This window comes from Homo sapiens, chromosome 13, assembly GCF_000001405.40.
Source record: "Homo sapiens chromosome 13, GRCh38.p14 Primary Assembly".
Taxonomy (NCBI): Eukaryota; Metazoa; Chordata; class Mammalia; order Primates; family Hominidae; genus Homo; species Homo sapiens.
In genome coordinates this window covers 45,834,599-45,853,978 of record NC_000013.11, presented here as the reverse complement: position 1 = coordinate 45,853,978, position 19,380 = coordinate 45,834,599, and the positions used below count along the sequence as shown (strand labels likewise).

Genomic DNA, 19,380 nt, shown 5'->3' with positions numbered 1-19,380 from the left:
CAAAATGAGGTATTTCTGTACTTTCCTCTCAATTTTGCTGTGAACCTAAAACTACTCTAAAAACATTAGGTCTTTAATTTCTTAAAAATCAAGATAAAATTAAAGGAGCATTGATTTTTATATCTTAAGCACAAGCATGAGATTATCAACACAAAGTTATAGATCTTTGACCTATTTGCTGGCATCCTTATTTTGTGTACAATCATTTTATTTTAAAAATACCTTTCCAAAAAAAAAAAAAAAACAGCAGAAATCCCCATTCTCATGGAACTTACTTCTAGCAGGATGACGGAAACAATACATCTTTAAAAAGTAAAGAAAAATGAAACAAAACAGAACAAAAAATCAACACAATCGTTCCACTAGAGCCAAAGATGTAAAAATAATTTGAACCTTTCTAAATTATGAATATATCTTTAAGGAATCTATGAGAGTATCTGCACACTTTTAGTTTTTAAAACAAGTAAGCCAATGAAAGGACATTAAATGTTTTCCCAATGAACTGCTGAAAGCTTATTTTCTGGACAATTCAAACTTTAGAAAGCAGATTCTGGTTTTGTGGGCCAGCAACCTTTATTATATGCCATGTAACAAGTGGCTCCAGGGACTCAGGTCCTATAAAAATATCACATTGATGAGGTTCTAATCAGTTCAAATGTTGTCATCTTCTAGTTTGGTGCCAGTGTCGTTATTTTAAAAGTGCAAAGTTTCCATGTTTAATTGGTGTTCAGCTTGTCTCTTAAAACATTGGTTTGGTTTTAAATGCAAGTTAAAATGAACAGCCTGGGCTCTGTCCTGGCATCAATAAACTTGTGCATTATTTTTATCCCGTATGTTATTCTGTTGTTAGTTTAACTGCCTGACCAGGTCACAGACCTAGGTGTTCCACGTGTGCATATGTTTTGCATACATTACAACCCAAGCATTGTAGCCAGAGCAGAACAAGAGCCATGAGGGAGGGGGCTCACACTCACAGGGTACAATTCACAGTGGGGGCTGATCCTGCTCCAGGCAGCACTGGATCTGGCCTGACTTCTCAAGAGAGAAACAACCAGGGAAGAGGGAAAACACAATACACTGAACTCCCCTGCTTTAGCTGCAAAGACTAAACCATCAGAGCTAGTCCCGAAAAACCCAAAACCCTTCAAGTACTGCTTAGGAATCTTTCTTCAAGAACCAGCGGCCTCCCGCCCACCCACCAGCCCTGTTCTGGGGAGCAAGGACAGGTTTGCAGTCTGAGGACTGGAATGCCCTCTGCCTGTGCCAGCACAGAAATGTGCTGCTAGCATTTGCAGAAACAAGTAAATGATGTGGTATGTGCATCCTTAATCTCTATTTTAATGTCTCCAGCAATCTAGTGGTTAATTAGCAATTTGCTGCCCACCAATATGCAAATGAATGACAAGCAAAGGTTCTCTGCATCTGTAATTATTTTGCTGATTTACAAGCCTCTTTCCTCTCAGTGTAGGTTTTTCTGTGTGTGTGCATTCATGCATCAGGGATTTCATTATTTTTTGAAGCATACTCTGTGCATTTTTATCCTTTAATACTTTCAGACTTCAGTAATCACAGTATTTTGAAAAAAAGAAAATATATATATATGTATAGTAATATATATGTATGTGCTTCCCTCCACCCCTCAACTCCAAATGAATTTGTCAGGGATTCTTTTCTTTGATAAAGAGTGGAGAGTAAGATTTATCAAGGGGCTGTAATCCAAATTGCAGAAAGTCAGAACGCAAGATTGAAAGATACACATTTTTGCTGCTGCCAAGTCCTTATCTGGATTCAGAGTCTAGTAATATTTTATTTTCTCCCAAGCAGCTCTGGTGAGTCGAGCCATGATCTGCGTTATCCATCTGCCTACTTTGGAGCGGGGTGTTGTACTATTTGGCGGCTTAAACGCTTTACGTTCTTGCCAGGGCATTAAGAAAGGCTCTCATGTTAAATTAAGTCAATTAATAAATGGAGACACATTAAGCAATCAATTTTGTCAGCCTATCTCCCCAGCATTAGGTATGGTTGGCTGTAATCACAAGATAAATGCAATGTGCTGATCTATGGTAATGTTCAATAATACATTCTCCGCCAGGCTCAATTCATCAGGGAGTTTCGGTAGGGAAGGCATTTGTTATTGGCTGTCTCTGCACCTCAAGGATAACATTTCTGTCCTTTTGATTGGCCGCCTCACTGCTGCAAGATTCTAACCGTCTTATTTTGATGATGAATATGAAGGCGCGCTAAGCCGGGCTGGAGCGGAGTGTCTCAGAGGCTGCGCTCCTTCCAGGGCCCAAGGACTCACAGCTTCCTCCGCTGCCTTCCCGGACCAACAACCCCCCAAAAGTTGTGATGCTTTTCTTTACCCAGTGCTTTGGGGCTGTATTAGATCTCATTCATCTCCGGTTTCAGCACTACAAGGCTAAACGGGTTTTCTCCGCTGCCGGGCAACTTGTCTGTGTCGTCAACCCCACACACAACCTAAAGGTGAGTCTCTGTGTCATTTTACCTTCACCGGGCTCAGGTTCAAGTCCTTTCTCGGAGGCGGCAGCGACCCTCCGGCGAACGTGTGCAGCCCTTTGCAAACCCGGGTCTCGGGGGCTGGGACGGTGTCTGGAACCCGGCGTGTTTGCCTCGGCTCACTCTCGCTCTCTAGGTGATTGGGTGCTGTTAGTGACCGAGTGTTGTTTCCCCAGCTGGCAGGAAAAGCTGGATTGATGGTCTGATGTCTTTCCCCGACGCTGTCAACCTGAGAGTGGCGTGGGGGGCAGAAGTGAGGGTGGTGGAGGGAACAGGGGGGCGTCCCCATCACTCCCCCTACTATTTGTGGGCAAGTGCTCAGGAGACAGGATTTGAAGTTAGCCAAATTCTCTCTGTCCCATGTGTTGGGAGAGGTGGTCAAACACGAGGATTTTAGAAGCTACTGGGGGGTGAGGAATCCTGAAACAGGGACTTGGACGTCGGTGGGGTGGGGGGAGGGTTCTTTCTGCAAAGTGTTTGTCCTTGTCCTCAGACTCGTGTGTGTGTGTGTGTGTGTGTGTGTGTGTGTGTGTGTGTGTGTGGTGTCGGGAGGATTTTGGCTTATTTCCTTCCTGCTGGTTAGATGCGCTCTGTGTACTGGAGCAGGATTTGCCTGGCTTGTGTAATAATGACACCAGCTTCTAGCTGCTGCCGCCGCTGCCTGGAGCACCCTAGGCAGCTGGGTGCTGGGTTGCTCGCGGCTGCCTAGCTGCCCCGGGGCCTCTGCATTTGTACCCTCAGGTCAGTGCCCTTTTAGAGACCAGACAAAATATGGGGTCCGGCAGAGCCGCTTAACATCACAGCCAAGACTGACTGGGAAAGGAATGATGGGCCACTGGTTAGGGGTAGTAGGGAGGAGGGGAAGTCAGGGAGGTGGGGGCTGGGGAGAGGGTGCAGCTGAACTCCCCGGATGGGAAACTCAGCACCTTGCCTCTCTCCTAACATAAAAGATGGACTCATTGGAAGTTCCTTTCCTGTACTCCTGTGTAAGGCAGGCAGGACTGAGTGCCGGGGGAGGGGCCGTGTCTGTAGCGACAGTGCCTGACAGTCTCTGTGAGGATAGATCTGTCCCTCTGACCACTGCTGTTGGGCAGGAAGAGCATTGCCTGTTGTCCATTACTTTATAAACTCCCACGGCCGGACTGTCCTCAGCTGGAGCCCCGCAGGTCAGCGCTGATGGGTGCCCCCACTCCTAGAAGTTCCGCCGAAAGACAGCTGCCTGGAGCTGCTGGGGTTACATGCCAAGGCCAGTCCTGGGGGAGGGGCGATGGACTATCCTGGGACCCCTATGGTGCATCTGACCTAGGATCTGACTCTCTCTGATATCCCAGCTGTGACGAATGCCATCGCATGCAACCGTTCACACCTGCTCTTGCTTGCGCGCTCTTGCCTCTCATTCCACTATTTCTTTTTTTCTTTTATAGCTTAGTTTTATAAATGAGAATTTACTACCAGTCATCCTTGGCAAAGCAAGTATGTAGTATGCACATTAAAATAAAATTCTGAATTCCATTTTATGGCCACTTTTGAGACTGCATTCAAACTTCCATTATTTTTTCCACTTTGGATTAGTTAGTTCCCTGGGGCAAGAAATTTTGTTTACTTCTGTTTTGTATTTTAATACCTTTAAAAATTGCTTATGAGACTTTAGCATTTCTGAAGTTTGCATTTATATGGTTCATTGACTGCAGCTGATGATGGAGAATAGAGAGGTGTTAAGGTCTCTGTGTGGAGTGAGGGGAAACCACTTGTGTATATTTCTCAATGATGTCTGCCTGGATTTTGACAAGTCGTCTTGCTGCCCTGACCCAGGAGTTCAGAGTCAGGGTTGGAGGCCTTGAGTCATCTCTGGCCAGCTGTGTGAACTTGAACTCCTCCTCCACCTCTTTGAGACTTCCCTTCCTCACCTTTTAAATGGGCTGATGAACATCTGCCCTTTCTCCGCCTCAGCTTTTGAGACTGAAAAGAGGTATCAGAGGTGTTTCATAACTCTCCTCTAAAAATAATGTATGTTATTGTATATATAATTTGTAGAGTTCCAATAGCAAATTCAAAAGTTGTCACTTAACACCTTCAGGCAATTTAGAAATTGTATAATCAGCAACATAAAAATGGATGACGTATGCTTTGAGAGGACATAGCTCACTTTTTCACTTACACTCTTATTTGGCTTTTCATTTCGCACACAAAAAAACCACTTATGGATTTTGCTCAGAGGAACATCACCCCAGATAAACAAAGCAAGTTGAGTGCTGCTAATGCCCCCTCAGGATTAGGCACACAGGATTTGGAGAGGGCGCCAGGTAGGGAGAGACCTGGAGGGTCCAGGTGGCCCATCAGGTAAGTTTCACTCCCTTCTCAAACCTAAGGGCTAATAGCCATTTGCAGAGCTTTAAAAGGACTAACTCCATAGGAGTGTCACTGCCCCATTGCTTGTATAAAAAGCACATGTAACCTCAAAAAAATTCTCCTTCTAAACGCTGATTTCCATAAACAGACCACGGAAATATGCCTTGGACGTAATAAGCTGTGATCTATGTAATGAGGAGGAAAGTCCTTCTTTTGTTAAAGGAAAAAAATAAAACCTGTGGCAGTATTAACCCAGAATAGCTATTGATCTGCCGTGCTTCCCCACATTTTGTATGACAGGCCAGTATATGAAATGGTGACCAAGGACAGAGAGACTGCAACCTTGCTTTCAATTTTATGGGTTGCGTGTAGCTACAAAGAGGGCTGGGAAGCTTGTGTTTTTCCTTGTGGAAGCATTTATGTGTTTTATCCTTTCCTGGGCTTTCCTGAGAATTCGAACCAACAGCATTTTAGAAACTGAGGCAAGTGCTGAGTTATAATCAAAATTCACTTACCAAGCAAAGAAAATTGTGTATTTACCATGCTTCTATAGGTCACCTTCATTCTCAATCTTATTATGGTGATTACTCAGTAACCTGGGATTCCTTCGAGCAAGCTGATGCCTTTCCTTCTAAATGGAAGGCAGAGCCTTCCTGGGGACATCAGATCCTCTGGTTAAAGCCATTACACCCCTGAAGCTCACCCTAATTAAAAGGGACATTTAGAGTAGCCAGCCTTGAACATAAGAGACCTCAGCTTTCAGTGAGTGCCAGGCAGTGGAGTGCAAACAAGACCATTTCCCTCAGTCTCTGCCTGTCTCTGTCTCTGAGGACCACTTGCACAGATTAGGGTTCCAAATGGTGCCCCCACTTCTTTCCACCCCATGAAAAGTGACCGTCAAGGAGCCAGCTCTCTTGGCCAGCTGCCCTCTGCTTCCTCATTCACAGAGGTTATTGAAATGTGACGAGCAGACTTCAGGCTGGCGCTCATGAGGGCGCCTGCTCCTGGTCCTGATTCAGCACTCCTCTCTCCCTCCTGTCCTTTGCTTGTTTCTAAACCAAGAAAGCCTTTCTCTCCTGGCTCCACTCCCATTGGCGCCAGCTGCTTCTACAGCGCCCTGCCCTGGGCAGCCCTGCCTTCTTTTGCCCCATCTGCAGAGGTGCCCTTTGAGGGGAGGAGCGGTCAGTCCCTGTGCCCAGGTTTTTCCAGAGAAGGCTCTGTAGTGCTAGGGGTCGGTCTGGGGTCAGTCATCAGCACTTCCCAAGCAGGCAGTAGCTAGGCTGAGGCTGGCTGAGTGACTTCCTCCTCTTAACCACAGCGTTTGATAAACAAGTTTCTGAAAGAAGAATAGTAAAATGCTTTCTGGCAAACTTCCATGAGGCCCTCTCTGATACCTCCAACCTGTGCCTGCACCACCCCAGACAACCCCATTAACCTTGAGGTGCAACAGAAACACACACGTGCACACACACACACACACACACACACACGAACACATGGAGTGGGAGGGGCATATGGGACAATCGTGGCTTTAAGTGCCCGACAGATATGAAATCTAAAGCTGGGGCACTTCAGTACCATTTGTTGATGCATCCACGTGCCTTCCATTCTAAGACCAACTTGTGTGGATAAATGTGTATTGAGTGGCAGTGGGGAGGGTGGGAGCTGTAAGGAAGAGGAGGAGGCAGAGACCAGGAAAGGAGAGATGTGAGATGTGTGCCCACCTTTGCCATTTATGGGATAATCTTTGGAAATCCCGTGCTGCCCCGGGGTTTGCTAACTCTGTTTCATACAGCACAGCAGGTGGCTCAATGAGAGGTAAAGACCTGAGCATTGTCTAGAGATTTAGAGGTGGCCTTTGGAGTGTTCTGCGTGAATACCTACTTTACAGCAGTTAAAGGCTTCCAACAAGACTGTTTAATAGCTGGTATGTGGGTTACTCAGTTCCTCTCCACACAGTCACCTCTGACAGTCCCATTCCCAGTCCTCTGGGCATTTCACTGTCTTGTTTCTCTGTCCAGTCTGGAGCCACTTTGCCAGAGGGGCTGGATAAAGGGTAAGGAAGGGGACCCCAAGCTGGTGGTGGTCACTGTGCGAGCATTATTCTAAAGGCTTTGCAGCCTCTTCCAGCCCATGGGTTCTGTGAATATTGTATGACACTCCACTCTGTGGGCTCAGAGCATTCGTGCGGCTTTTCTGGTTAATGGTGATTGCAAATGAGGCTCCTGAGTCACATAACGGGGAGGCCCAGAGCCTGGAGCAGTAATTTGGTTAGCCCTGTGCCGGTGATTGAGTTGTAGGGGAGGCTGAAGCTGGCGGCTATGATGAGGTGAGCCGATTACCTCTGTACTGCATTTATCCAGCAGCCCCGAAGCAAATTTGGTGGAATTCTCTTCACTGTGATCCCTCAACCTGCAGGGACTATTTGGGAAAATTAGAAAATAGATACGGAAAGCTTTCTTTGAAATCCGCAGAGAGGTCTGAATTACTTGGATGGCTTCCCTGGGTAAGATGGATTATTTTCCTAGCAATTAACAACAAGAAAAAAAATTAACTGTCTGTGGGGGTATTTTACCCTTAGCAAAGTCATCTTCACCCAACTAGCTCTGTTTCCTCCAAAGGGAAACAGTGACCTGGTTAGACAAGAAATGTCCTGTGGAAGGAATCAACCCAAAGAATGGAGACCTTACTGACAAAATTGAGACTAGAAGTTAGGTCTTCTAGGTCAGGTGCGGTGGCTCACGCCTGTAATCCCAGCACTTTGTGAGGCCGAGGCAGGTGGATCACCTTAGGTCAGGAGTTTGAGACCAGCCTGGCCAACATGGTAAAACCCACACTCTACTAAAACTACGAAAATTAGCTGGGCATGGTGGCGGGCACCTGTAGTCCCAGCTACTCAGGAGGCTGAGGCAGAAGAATCGCTTGAACCCGGGAGGCAGACGTTGCAGTGAGCTGAGATCACACCACTGTACTCCAGCCTGGGCAACAAGAGCGAAACTCCGTCTCAAAAAAAAAAAAAAAAAAAAAAGAAGTTAGGTCTTCTAACATCAGATCTATATTCCTACACTGCCCCAGGTTGCCTTCAAATTATGCTAAGTTAATGTCCCTTCCTCCAGATACATGGTGTGGGAGCGAAAACTTGCAAGGGTCCCCTTCCTGTACCCTATCTCTCCTCCTGGGGCCAGCAGCATGACACCCTGGGCTGTACCACACACTCTACCATCTCCCCTTTACCACAGCCACATTTTCTTCACAAATTAGAGCTTCTAAGTCATCATCCTTCCTCACTCCCTCACCCCTTCTATGAGTTTGGGCCATAATTTTGAAAGGCACAATCCTGAATGTTGAAATTGGGAAAGATGAAAGTCCCAAAAATATAATTATGGAAAAAAAATTTAAAAATTTTAAGACCTTTATTTACATTTTTAAGAGAAACATACAAAACACAACAGAGTGTTTTACAGGCCACTTAACACAATAAAAGAGGCAATAGTAACATACATATTTTTGCAAGCATAAACACTCAGATATACTAACAACTGTAGCATGGGGATAAGTTATAAGCAGACAAACTATATTCACAAAGAAATAGATCAAAAGGGAAATGTATAAACGCGTATTACTATGATTACTAATTGTGTGCACCCAGCTTTATAACTGTGGCCATCTGAAACACCGTGATGGACAACTTAAATCTTTTGATGGACAGCTCAAAAACCAGCGAGTCACCATTGCATATGCAGTCACCCAAACCGCCGAGATCTCAAGAAATTGTACCTTTCACAAATGCAGATGTACAGAAAGGACATCTCTTTATTTACTGAGGAAGTTTCAGCGTTTTTAACACACGCACAATGCATACACACAAAGTCAACATTGTGATAATGCACCTTCCTGGAGTCAAATTTGCAAAAAAAAAAAAAAATGCATAAAACAAATGAGAACTCTCTGAAAGTCTCTACACAATGTATACATCTATTATTGGAGACAATACGAAGATTAAATATATAGCATAGTATATTGGCACTATGTGTGAAAGGGCAGAAGTAGTACATGATTAAATAATTTGGCAGGGGAGATTTTTTGTATCTTTCACCTGCATTTTCACTTCTTCTATAATCTTCGAAACAGTCGTTGCACTTGTATTTGGAGAGTGGTTGTGGTCTACAAATTTTCTAAGTGTATGCTGTCCATTTGAAAGTTTGGTTGTTGCTGGGCCATTGCAATTAAGTAATTTTCTGCTAACACAGCACCAGTATAATTAGCTTTTAAACTTTTATCTTTCACCAATAAGTAGTTTCATACACTTAACTTATCACAGCATTTTTGTGAGGGATCAGTTTCACAGATCTCTTCCAATGTGTTGTAAGGAATGCATAAGAATGAATGATATTCGGCTTCCTCAGTACCAAATATGTATTAGTCAGGGTTCTCCAGAGAGCTAGAACCAATAAGATATGTATGTATATGGATATATGAGAGGGGATTTATTAGGAAAATTGGCTCACACGATTATGACGGCTTAGTAGTCCCATGGCATGCCCATCTGCAAGCTAGAGACCCTGGGATGCCAGTAGCATGTCTCGCTCCAAGTCCGAAGGCCTTAGAACCAGGGAAGCCAATGGTTAACTCTCATTTAAATGTGGGTGCTGGTGTAAGTCCTGGAGTCCAAAGGCTGGTGAGCTTGGGGTTCTGATGTCCAAGGCAGCAGAAGAGATCTGTCCCGGATCTCAGAGAGAGATCAATTTGCTTTCTGTATTTGTTTCTCCCAGCCATTGGCCAATGAGATGGTGCCCACCAACACTGAGGGCAGCTTTTCCTCAGCTAACCCACTCATACTCACACACTAACCTCCTCTGGAAACATCCTCACAGAAACATCCGACATAATGCTTTACCAGATTTCCAGGTATTTTTAAATTCAGTCAACTTGACACCTAAATTTTAGTTCACAATCCACAACTTAGCACCCATACGCATCTCTTTAAATCATACTTCATTTCCACATAAGACAATAACAAGGTAATAGTTCTGCCTAACATGATACAACTAACATGGTGCAGATATCCTGCGCACAACCTAAATGTACTAATCCTTTCTCCAGATTTTGACTTTCAGAATTTTAACATTTGGGATTTTAATCTTTTGGGAATGAGATTTTCAGGGTTTTAGACTTTAGGAATTTTGATCTTTGGGGAATTCAACTTTCAGGATTATGATGTTTGGGACTGCATCTTTTGGGATTATGACCGGCACCAATTGTTAGCATGGTCATTATGACGACAACAGCTACTCAAAGCTGGCTTTGACTCCCCACACTCCCCACCTGGCTGTCTTTCTCCGCCTTCCCTTCCTCTCTGCAAGCTTTAGTGCTTGCTGTTTCTTGGTATTTTGTGAGTTATCTTTGGCCTTGAAGAGAATTGTGAATAGAACAATTTTTTGCCTCATGTGAAAGTCGGATTTGTCCTTAATGTTTAGCTTCAAAGAAAGCACGGAACCCCACTGGGCTCTGAGCCTGGAAGACAGGCTGGGTCTCAGGAAGACACTCATGCCTGCAGTGGGACAAGAGCTGAACGAGCTGGGACCTGTCATTCACAGAGCCAGGAGCCATGCAGATAAATCCCCTTCTCTGCTCATCCTGAAAACTTGCCCCTCATGACTTATGCATTACTTCTTTTCATTAGCAGAGGCTTGAGTAAGCACGTGGGTAGGTGGCTCTGTGAGGGGTATCTGATTCGAAGAGTATATATCTGCAGGCTCGATGACACCACTCTGAGATTCAGCAGGGTAGAGACAGAGATGGAGGCAGAAACTGCATGTCCCTGTGAGGTTGTACATTTTCTCTCTGCCCTGCAGTTCGTTGCACCTTGAGGACACAGCTTTCCTCTGAGCCCGGCATGGATGAGAAGGGGGATGATGCTCAGTCTAGGCTGCAGCCTCTGGAATCGAGGAAGGGCAAGACAGAACTCCTAGATCCCACTGTCATCAGAAAATTAAACATGAATGAGCTAAGCCCTAGGCCTGAGTTGCCTACACTCCAACCTGAGTTTCTACACACACACACACACACACACACACAGAGAGAGAGAGAGAGAAATAATGGCAATTCTGAGATGCTCCCCTGTGTGGGCCCTGAGTGGACTCTGAATAGAAGATCACAGGATGCGAAGCCCAGTGGGTGCGGAATACTGGTCCCCAGCACAGTGGAAGAACAAATAGAGATAAACAAGACCCTTCTTCCCCACCCAGTCTGTAACCAACCAGCTTCAGGAAAGAGTTAAGTGGGGAAAGTGGTGTTGGGAAAGAAGAGAAATGTTTTAGTTGAGGACTTAAGGTATGAGTTTTGGAGTCAGATCTGGGTTTGAATCCAATGTTGCATTCCTTGGATAATATCTTTGGCCTCCCAGAGTCTGCATGCTCTCCTCTATAAAATGGTTGTTGTAAAGATTAAATAATACGATGTACAGGCCAGGCACGGTGGTTCACGCCTATAATCCCAGCAGTTTGGGAGGCTGAGGCAGAAGGATTCTTGAGCCCAGGGGTTCGAGACCAGCCTGGGCAACATAGTGAGACCTCGTGTCTCCAAAAATATAAATATTAGCAAAGCATGGTGGCCCACACCTGTAGTGTCAGCTATTCAGGGTGGAGGGGCTGAGGTGGGATGATCGCTTGAGCCCAGGAGGTCCAGGCTGTGGTGAGCCATGACTGCACCACTGCACTCCAGCCTGGGTAGCAGAGCAAGACCCTGTCTCAAAAAATATACATATGATTTATATAAAGTGTTCAGCACAGCACCTGGCATATTATAATTACTCCATCAATTGTAGTTATCATCATTACTAGTAGGTGAGTCCTGCAGAGATGTTACCTGATGCACAAAATGTGACCCAAGTTCCTTTGCCTAAGTTTGGGTGACCAAACTTTTACTCCAACTGTATGTTGGAGGGAAGGGGGAAGGTAGAGCAGTAAAAGGACATACCTGCTGAGGACCATGCTTTTGAAGCACACAGTGTTTAAGCTGAGAGCCAGAATAATGTCCTAGTTTAAGGAGCCGGTCTAACAAATGTGGCTCAAGGGGATGAAGTGACTTGCCCAAGGTTCCCACTGATGAGGCTCCAGCAGAGCTGGGGATGGTACTTTGGTTAAGGACATTGCCTCTCTAATATGTCCCCATGGCAGTGTTGGACCTCTTCCCAGAGGGGTCTTGTTCTCAGGACCTTGCCAAGGTATAAACCAGCTGGACAACAGCGGGGCATTAAAAAGGCAAATGTTCCTTGTGTCTCTAGCGCTGGCACAAATATATAGTGAGGGACAGGGATGAGGCTCCAAATGAAGTCACCAAACCCTTGCAGCCATTATCCCAGACCTTCAAACAGCAGGATGGATCCAAAGGCTACATATTCATCTTGACTATGGCACCATCAGAAAACAGATGAGAAACAAACACAATGTTTTTACCAGAAGAACAGGTTCTTTGTGGATTATTTAGAATTGTGGTCTAACTGGAAGTGTCAGTTTTACTTGCAAGTTGCTATATCTTGTAATCATTTCTTGGTCCTTTAATGTATTTTTAATCAAGAATCTATGATAAGGAGGGCACTGCTCATTGCAGGGCTGTTTCCAGCTGTGGCACAGCACTGGAAACAGCATGGAGCAAGTAGCCTGAGAAAGGAAACGGTAGGCCCTGGCTCCCCAGGACAAAAAGGACAGGATCCTCTGCAGAAGAGATGGGCCACTGCAGCCCCTTGGAGAGGGAGGGCAGGGTTAGCTTGGCATTAGGAAGGCCCCATAGAGATGAAACCAAATGTAGATCAATAACACAGATTTTACAAGAGACTGGCCAGCAAGCCTAGCCACCTGCCAGCTTCATAACCAGACTTCATGGCCTCTCGGATCTAACAGCTACGACTCTGCCAAGATGTGACAGGGAGTCCAGGGCAGGTGGCCACTTGGAACCCTGGGTTCCCTCTGTGTACTTTAGGGATGTATAATGACTTATACTAGGCCAAGGCAGCTAAACATCCTGAAACCCTGATAATAGTTTTCTACCGTATTAGTTACACACACAATAAAAACAATAATGATAGTAACAACCACAAAATGCTACATCCAGGAACTATGTTAAGTGCTAATGCATTTAATCATCACTGGGAAGTAGTATATTGTTATCATTCTCCATTATACAGAATATCAAAACAGAAAAAGGTCAAAAATCTTACTCAATGTCACCCAGCTCTTTGTGGCAGAACCTTTTTTAAAAATTAAATTTCTGTGCTTTAAAGCGCGTCTTGATATGTCATCCCTCAGTTACTTTTCACAACAAACAACTGAGCCGACATGCTTGGCCTTAGGATTAATATTGAGTATATTTCACTTTAAAACGCTGAGCTGGGACCCTGTCTTATTCATTCTGTGTGTATAAATGCACACAAAGATGCTCCGGCTCGGGGTGGGCAATCCTGGTAGCATCCTCTGTGCTTCTCTATGCTGCCTGGTGGGATCGAGTTCCTGTGGCCTCCAGCAGTGACTTCTTCCCTTCTTCCTGCTTGCTGGAATAGCCTCCCAAATTTACTACTGCATCCAAATCATTATCTCAGGCTCTGTTTTTGGGGAACCCAAATTAAGACTATGTGTATATTTTTTAACTACCTAACATTTATTGAGCACTTACTAAGTGCCAAGCACTGTGCTAAGTGATTTACCTGAATTGCCTTTTAAAAAATCCTCAGGATAATTCATTAGTCTATTTCCAGTTTACACATGAGGAAGCTGAGGCACAGAGAGATGAAGTAACCTGTCCAGAACCCATTCCATGAGCAGCAGAGTTTAGCTTGTGGTTTCTCGTGGGTTTTTTTTTGGCCAGAGTTTCCCTCTGTCACCCAGGCTGGAGGGGAGTGGTGCGATCTCAACTCACTGCAATCTCTGCCTCCTGGGTTCAAGTGATTCTCACACCTCAGCCTCCCAAGTAGCTGGAATTACAGGTGCACACCACCACGCACAGCTAATTTTTGTATTTTTAGCAGAGATGGGGTTTCACCATGTTGGCCAGGCTGGTCTCGAACTCCTTACCTCAGGGGATCCACCCACCTCGGCCTCCCGAAGTGCTGGGATTTCAGGCGTCAGCCATGGCACCAGGTCTAGCTCTTGCTTTTAACCTTGATGTTGAGCTAGCTCTCCTTCCTGATCATAGAATTGGTTGTCTGGAAGCTTCTACAAAGAGCTAAGCCCTCCAAATTCAGGCTTGGTAAAAATTAATGATTTTTGTTTGTTTGTTTGTTTTTTGAGACAGAGTCTCACTCTGTTGCCCAGGCTGGAGTGCAGTGGTGCGATCTCAGCTCACTGCAACCTCCGCCTCCCGGGTTCAACCGATTCTCCTGCCTCAGCCTCCCTAGTAGCTGGGATTACAGGCAGGTACCACCACGCCCGGCTAATTTTTTGTATTTTTAGTAGAGATGGGGTTTCACCGTGTTAGCCAGGATGGTCTTGATCTCCTGACCTTGTGATCCACCCACCTTGGCCTCCCAAAGTGCTGGGATTACAGGCGTGAGCCACCGCACCTGGCCTAAAAATTATGGTTTGTATACAGTATTTCTGGAAAATCTTTGACACAACTTTATGTAAATGCTCAATTCAAAATTATCCTGAAGGAAAGGAAGTTTGTGCTCTATGACCATGTTTTTTTAAGAAATGGGTTACCTGGTTTAACAGGTGGACAAACATGTCTGAAACTGGGACTGATCTCCAAATCTGGGCCATATGATTGTCTTGTCATTATCTAACAGTGGAAGCTGGTTGGCCACATTGGAAATGCAAATGCTCTCTAAGCATCCAGATACTATGAAACAGGCTGCTTTTTCTCTAAAAAATAAAAAAGTTAAAAAAAAAAAAGAAGAGGAGAAAGAAGTCTTTTTATACAAAGCAAAAACGGCCTTTAAGAGAACGTGGCTTTTAGCATGTAACACCTGTTCTCTAAGAGATCCACAGGCCTTTGAAATTTCCTTTCTCATTAGCGGCCATACTCTATAACTAAATTTATTTATTTTTCCTAAAATCAAAGAGGAACGAAATTTTAATGACCATTTCCTACCTAATTTAACTCGGCTTCTACCTTGGTTTCTGGTAAACGCTTCCCCTTATGCCCTTCCAACATTTTCTTTTTCAAACACTGCTGTGAGAAGAACCGAGTGAAGGAGGCATCAGGGTGAGAGGTGGGCTTCTGGAAGGAAAGCGGGATGATGCCTACAAGCCATGTATCCGGGTCAAAAGCCAGAGAAAGGAGGGACTGTGTCCACATTGACCCTAGAAAGCGGGAGAAAAACACTCAAGCAGGAGCCAAGGAGGGAAAATCACCAAAGGAGGCCCCAGAGTCACCTCATTAAACAGCACTGACGTCTGGGAAAAGTCACCAAGGGGTGCAGAAGCCTCGCCGGAGAGACTGGAATGGAAGGAATGAAAAGGAAACCTAAGGAAAGGCCTCAGACATGAGTGATATGCCATCATCACCATTCCCTGTCCTCCATGATGTCTGCTTGTCACAGTGCCCCCCAGCGTGGTGGCCTGGGGGCACTTGGGGCAGGCGCTGGCACTGCAGGAACCTGACTGTTCTCTGCCACCCCCGTGCCCTGTGCGAGCCTCCCTGTAAGCAGGAGGGCTGATGAGCACATCAAGAAGCTGCCTCATTGAAGCCAAAGTGCTACATCTGTTTATGGTAATTAAATAAATGCCAGTTGGACCCTTCTCAGCGTGCTTACTGAAGCAAATGCCAGAAACGCGCTGCTCTCCAAGAATCGGAGAGAAATTAGAAACAGAAAGGCGAGCTCCCAGGCACTTACCACCCACTCCTTGAAAAGACTTGGCCAAGGAGGTTTATGCAGAATCAAGAGGCTAAGCTTTCATTTGCAGTTCTGGCTTGCTTCCTTGTGTGGTCTTGAGCAAGTCACTTAACCTTGGCTACTTCATCTGTCAGATGAGAAGATGACACTTGCCCTTTACCTCCCTCCAAGGTGACCTTGGTGTGCAGAGATGAGTCTTTACAATTGAACTGATTTACAGGCTGCCTCTTTTCAAAAAAGTTTGAGGCAATTTACACCAAATGGGGGGTGATGTGGTGAATACAATAGACATAAAATAGAGAATGAAACGAGGTTAATTTTATGAGCTTAACCCATTTATCATGGGTGACAGAAATTTAGTAGAAAAGAAAAGTCCACAGAGGTATTTTAAACACTTCTCAACATGTTGGAAACATCACGGACTTTGGACTAGGATGTGGCTTCAAATTTAGTTCTAATATTCATATCTATGAGATGCTTGGCAAGTTACTTAATCACCTTGAGCTTCGTTTACCTTGCCTGTAATAATACATACAATGTGAGACTAAAGAAGAATTAATATGGTAAATATAAGCAAAAGCACCTAGACCAGATCCTGGCACACGGTAGTTCTTTCATAAACATTGATTTCTTTTGGCCTGCATGCATTCCTTCTTCCCTTCCTCCCTCCCTCCCTCTGTCCCTCCCTCCTTCCTTCCTTCCTTCCTTCATTCCTTCCTTCCCTCCTTCTTTCCTTCCTTCCTTCTTGTCTCTTTCTTCCTTTCTCTCTGTATTTTTCTTTCTTTCTTTTTCTTTCCCTCTCTTTCTCTCTCCTTCCTTCCTCCCTTCCTTCCTTTTTTTCATTCTTTTTCAAATTTAAATAAGGAAGTCCCCAAAAAGCTCCTCATATTATTTGATGAGTAAGTTAGAAAAGAACCTCTGGGAATGAGAAAGAGTTTGAAATTAGGAAAGGAAGTGAGCCTTGACGTGTAGAGAAGGGACAAATCTTCAAAATGAGTAATGACTCTATGAACAAATCCAAAGTCACCAGATGAGTCTCTTAAATCCTCTGAGTCTTATTTTGTTACTGGAGTGTAGAATTAATAAGATTGGTTTCCTCCTTTGCCCCCTAGATCTCCCCAAAAGATTTGGGAGTAGAAAAGGGAGAGCTGGGAAGATGTTTTCTCCATGTGAAGCTGAGAAGACGAAGGCCACTGTTATGGTGTCCCTAGGGGACACAAATCCAGACAGATGTGAAGCTTCACTGGGAGGCATGGGGCTGGCACTAGGGCGGCAGATGTCTACACATTTACCACTAACCAATTATAAAATAAAGATGACAAATGCAATTCTCTTTTACTCTCTGAGGTCACCTGGGTATGTCCAAGCAGGCAAGATGTGATGTCTGCAAAGTGACCACTGGCAAATATTACAGGCAACTGGGGACATCCAGGAACGTCCAGCAACAGGAAGCAGGGTCATGGCCCACAAGGTTACTGACTGAGGCAGGATTTCTTTATTTCAACTTTTAAGTTTGGGGTACACGTGCAGGATGTGAAGGTTTGTTTCATAGGTAAACGTGTCCCATGTTGGTTTACTGCACAGATCATCCCATCACCCAGGTAGTAAACTCAGCATCCATTAGCTGTTCTTCCTGATGCTCTCCCTCTCCCCATCCCCTCACAGGTGCCCAGTGTTGTTGTTCTCCCCTGCCATGTGTCCATGTGTTCTCCTCAATAATCAGCTCCCACTTATAAGTGAAAACATGCTGTATTTGGTTTTCTGTTCATGCGTTAGTTTGCTGAGAATAAGGGCTTCCAACTCCATCTATGTCCCTGCAAAGGACACGATCTTGTTCCTTGATAATATAGTGGCTTCCAACTCCATCTGTGTCCCTGCAAAGGACATGATCTTGTTCCTTTTTACAGCTGCATAGTATTCCATGGCGTATATGCACTACAGTTTCTTTACCCAGTCTATCACTGATGGGCATTTAGATTGATTCCATGTCTTTGCTATTGTAAACAGTGATGCAATGAACATATGCATGCATGTGTCTTTACAATAAAATAACCTGGCAGGACTTTTCAAGTCCTAGTCCCTGCCTTCTCCTCTGTGAAGCCTTTCCTGCTAATCCTTGACCCCCTCTATCTGCCTCACTCGTTCTCACTGATTTTAAGCACAAAGCTCAGACTCTCCACTCTACGCATTCACTTGCATATCCGTGTCCCTATCAGATGGTGAGTACCCCAAGGGCTCTGTATCCCCAGGCCTGGTATAAATGACTGGCTGGTATAGTGGGTGCATAGTAGATGTAGGTCTAATTAATAAATAAAAGGCTAAGAACTGCAAGAACAAGGCAAGAAAGTGGGAAAACTAAGCGTGTTATCAATACAGAGGCTGAAGAACAGGGAAAGAATCAGGCGTCTCCCAAAGCGTGCTCTAAGGCAGAAACGTGATATTCAGAGAGCTGTCATATACAAGTCCAGAGCCTGAGGAGCAGTGAGACTTGGTCCCAAGCCCCGCAGATCCCTCCAGCCTATGGAGAGTGTTAAGTTTCTGAGCCAGACTGGGTCCGAGCTCACAGATGGGGTAGATGATATATAAGGTTTAGCGTAATGCTAAGTGCTGGTCTCTGGAGTCACACTACCTGGGTTCAGCTACTGCCTCTACAGCTGCCAGCCATGTGACTTTGGACTTGAGGTTTAGCTTTTTGGGGACCTCAGTTTCCTCATCTGTAAAATGGGGTAATAATAACCGCCTGCCTCCTCCAGTTGTTCTGAGGACTAAATGAGTTAATATAATAAAGTGCTTGGCACAGAATAAATGCTATACAGATGTTAGCTGCTATTATTGCTATTGTTGTTGTTATTATTATCATTACTAGATGTGAGGAGGGAACACTTAGTTCATAGGTCCTGATGCTAGTGTAGTGAAAGGAGAGAAAAGAATCTACTGTGTCCGGCTTCCATTGACTGGATTACAGCTGCTCTAACCTTGACTGATTAGTAGTTGATAATCTGAAGACTAGTTCTCTACATGCTATTGAGAAATACTTCAAGTTTCATTTTTGGAGAGGCTGGGAAATAGTCACTATCACAATAATACCAAAGTTTGGCTTTTTTGAAAAATGGGTTTGAGATTTGTTTGTGAGTATATTCAAATAAATCAGGGAGCTTTGTGGTTTGGGAGGTGGTGGGAGAGAATCAGTCTTCCTCTTTCTGCCTTTCTAGTCTATCTTGTGGGCTCTCACACCTGCTGAAGGGAACAAAAGAACATGAAAAGGGCCCTTTAATAATTAAAGGACAGTTTATATTTACTTGTCTTTAAATACACACTTATAAAGCACTTACTATGTGTTAGGCACGCCCTGTTCTAATTACCAATATTAATTTATTTGATCCTTAAATAACCCTGTGAGATAGAGCTATGATTATATAGATGAGGGATCTGAGGCCCAGAGAGGTTTAGCAGTGAGTCCAAAGCCACACAGCAGCAAGTGGTAGAGTCAGGATTGTGAACTCAGGAGTTCCTCCTGCATCACCTCCAGAAGGCCTAAGTTTAGGTACCTGCACAAGACGGTCAGCACCCCTCTTCTGGCCCACAGTAGGTCGGTTTGCGGGCTTGACTCTAGGTGGCCCAGCTTTGGAAGGGAGGTGTCATGCCCCACAGACACTGAGCTGGAAGCCCAACGGGACAGCCTC

The 19,380-nt window shown here is 44.8% G+C and overlaps 1 protein-coding gene across 1 annotated transcript in view, besides 4 other annotated features; it reads left to right on the top strand.

Moving 5' to 3' along the window:
* Positions 1-2,225: 2,225 nt before the first annotated feature.
* Positions 2,226-19,380, top strand: part of SIAH3 (siah E3 ubiquitin protein ligase family member 3) — a 74,512-nt gene continuing 57,357 nt past the window's right edge. Inside the window, exon 1 of the mRNA NM_198849.3 lies at positions 2,226-2,484. Coding sequence (NP_942146.2) covers positions 2,350-2,484 — 135 coding nt within the window. The 5' untranslated portion in view covers positions 2,226-2,349. The remainder of the gene's footprint in view (positions 2,485-19,380) is intronic.
* Positions 3,117-3,654: an enhancer, noted in NCBI's record as "H3K4me1 hESC enhancer chr13:46424460-46424997 (GRCh37/hg19 assembly coordinates)". NCBI's record gives its function as "activates a minimal SCP1, AML or CMV promoter by ChIP-STARR-seq in primed H9 embryonic stem cells {active_cell/tissue: H9 hESC(primed)}" and the evidence as "EXISTENCE:reporter gene assay evidence [ECO:0000049][PMID:30033119]".
* Positions 6,280-6,970: an enhancer, noted in NCBI's record as "NANOG-H3K4me1 hESC enhancer chr13:46421144-46421834 (GRCh37/hg19 assembly coordinates)". NCBI's record gives its function as "activates a minimal SCP1, AML or CMV promoter by ChIP-STARR-seq in naive and primed H9 embryonic stem cells {active_cell/tissue: H9 hESC(naive and primed)}" and the evidence as "EXISTENCE:reporter gene assay evidence [ECO:0000049][PMID:30033119]".
* Positions 14,937-15,453: an enhancer, noted in NCBI's record as "H3K4me1 hESC enhancer chr13:46412661-46413177 (GRCh37/hg19 assembly coordinates)". NCBI's record gives its function as "activates a minimal SCP1, AML or CMV promoter by ChIP-STARR-seq in primed H9 embryonic stem cells {active_cell/tissue: H9 hESC(primed)}" and the evidence as "EXISTENCE:reporter gene assay evidence [ECO:0000049][PMID:30033119]".
* Positions 15,454-15,970: an enhancer, noted in NCBI's record as "H3K4me1 hESC enhancer chr13:46412144-46412660 (GRCh37/hg19 assembly coordinates)". NCBI's record gives its function as "activates a minimal SCP1, AML or CMV promoter by ChIP-STARR-seq in primed H9 embryonic stem cells {active_cell/tissue: H9 hESC(primed)}" and the evidence as "EXISTENCE:reporter gene assay evidence [ECO:0000049][PMID:30033119]".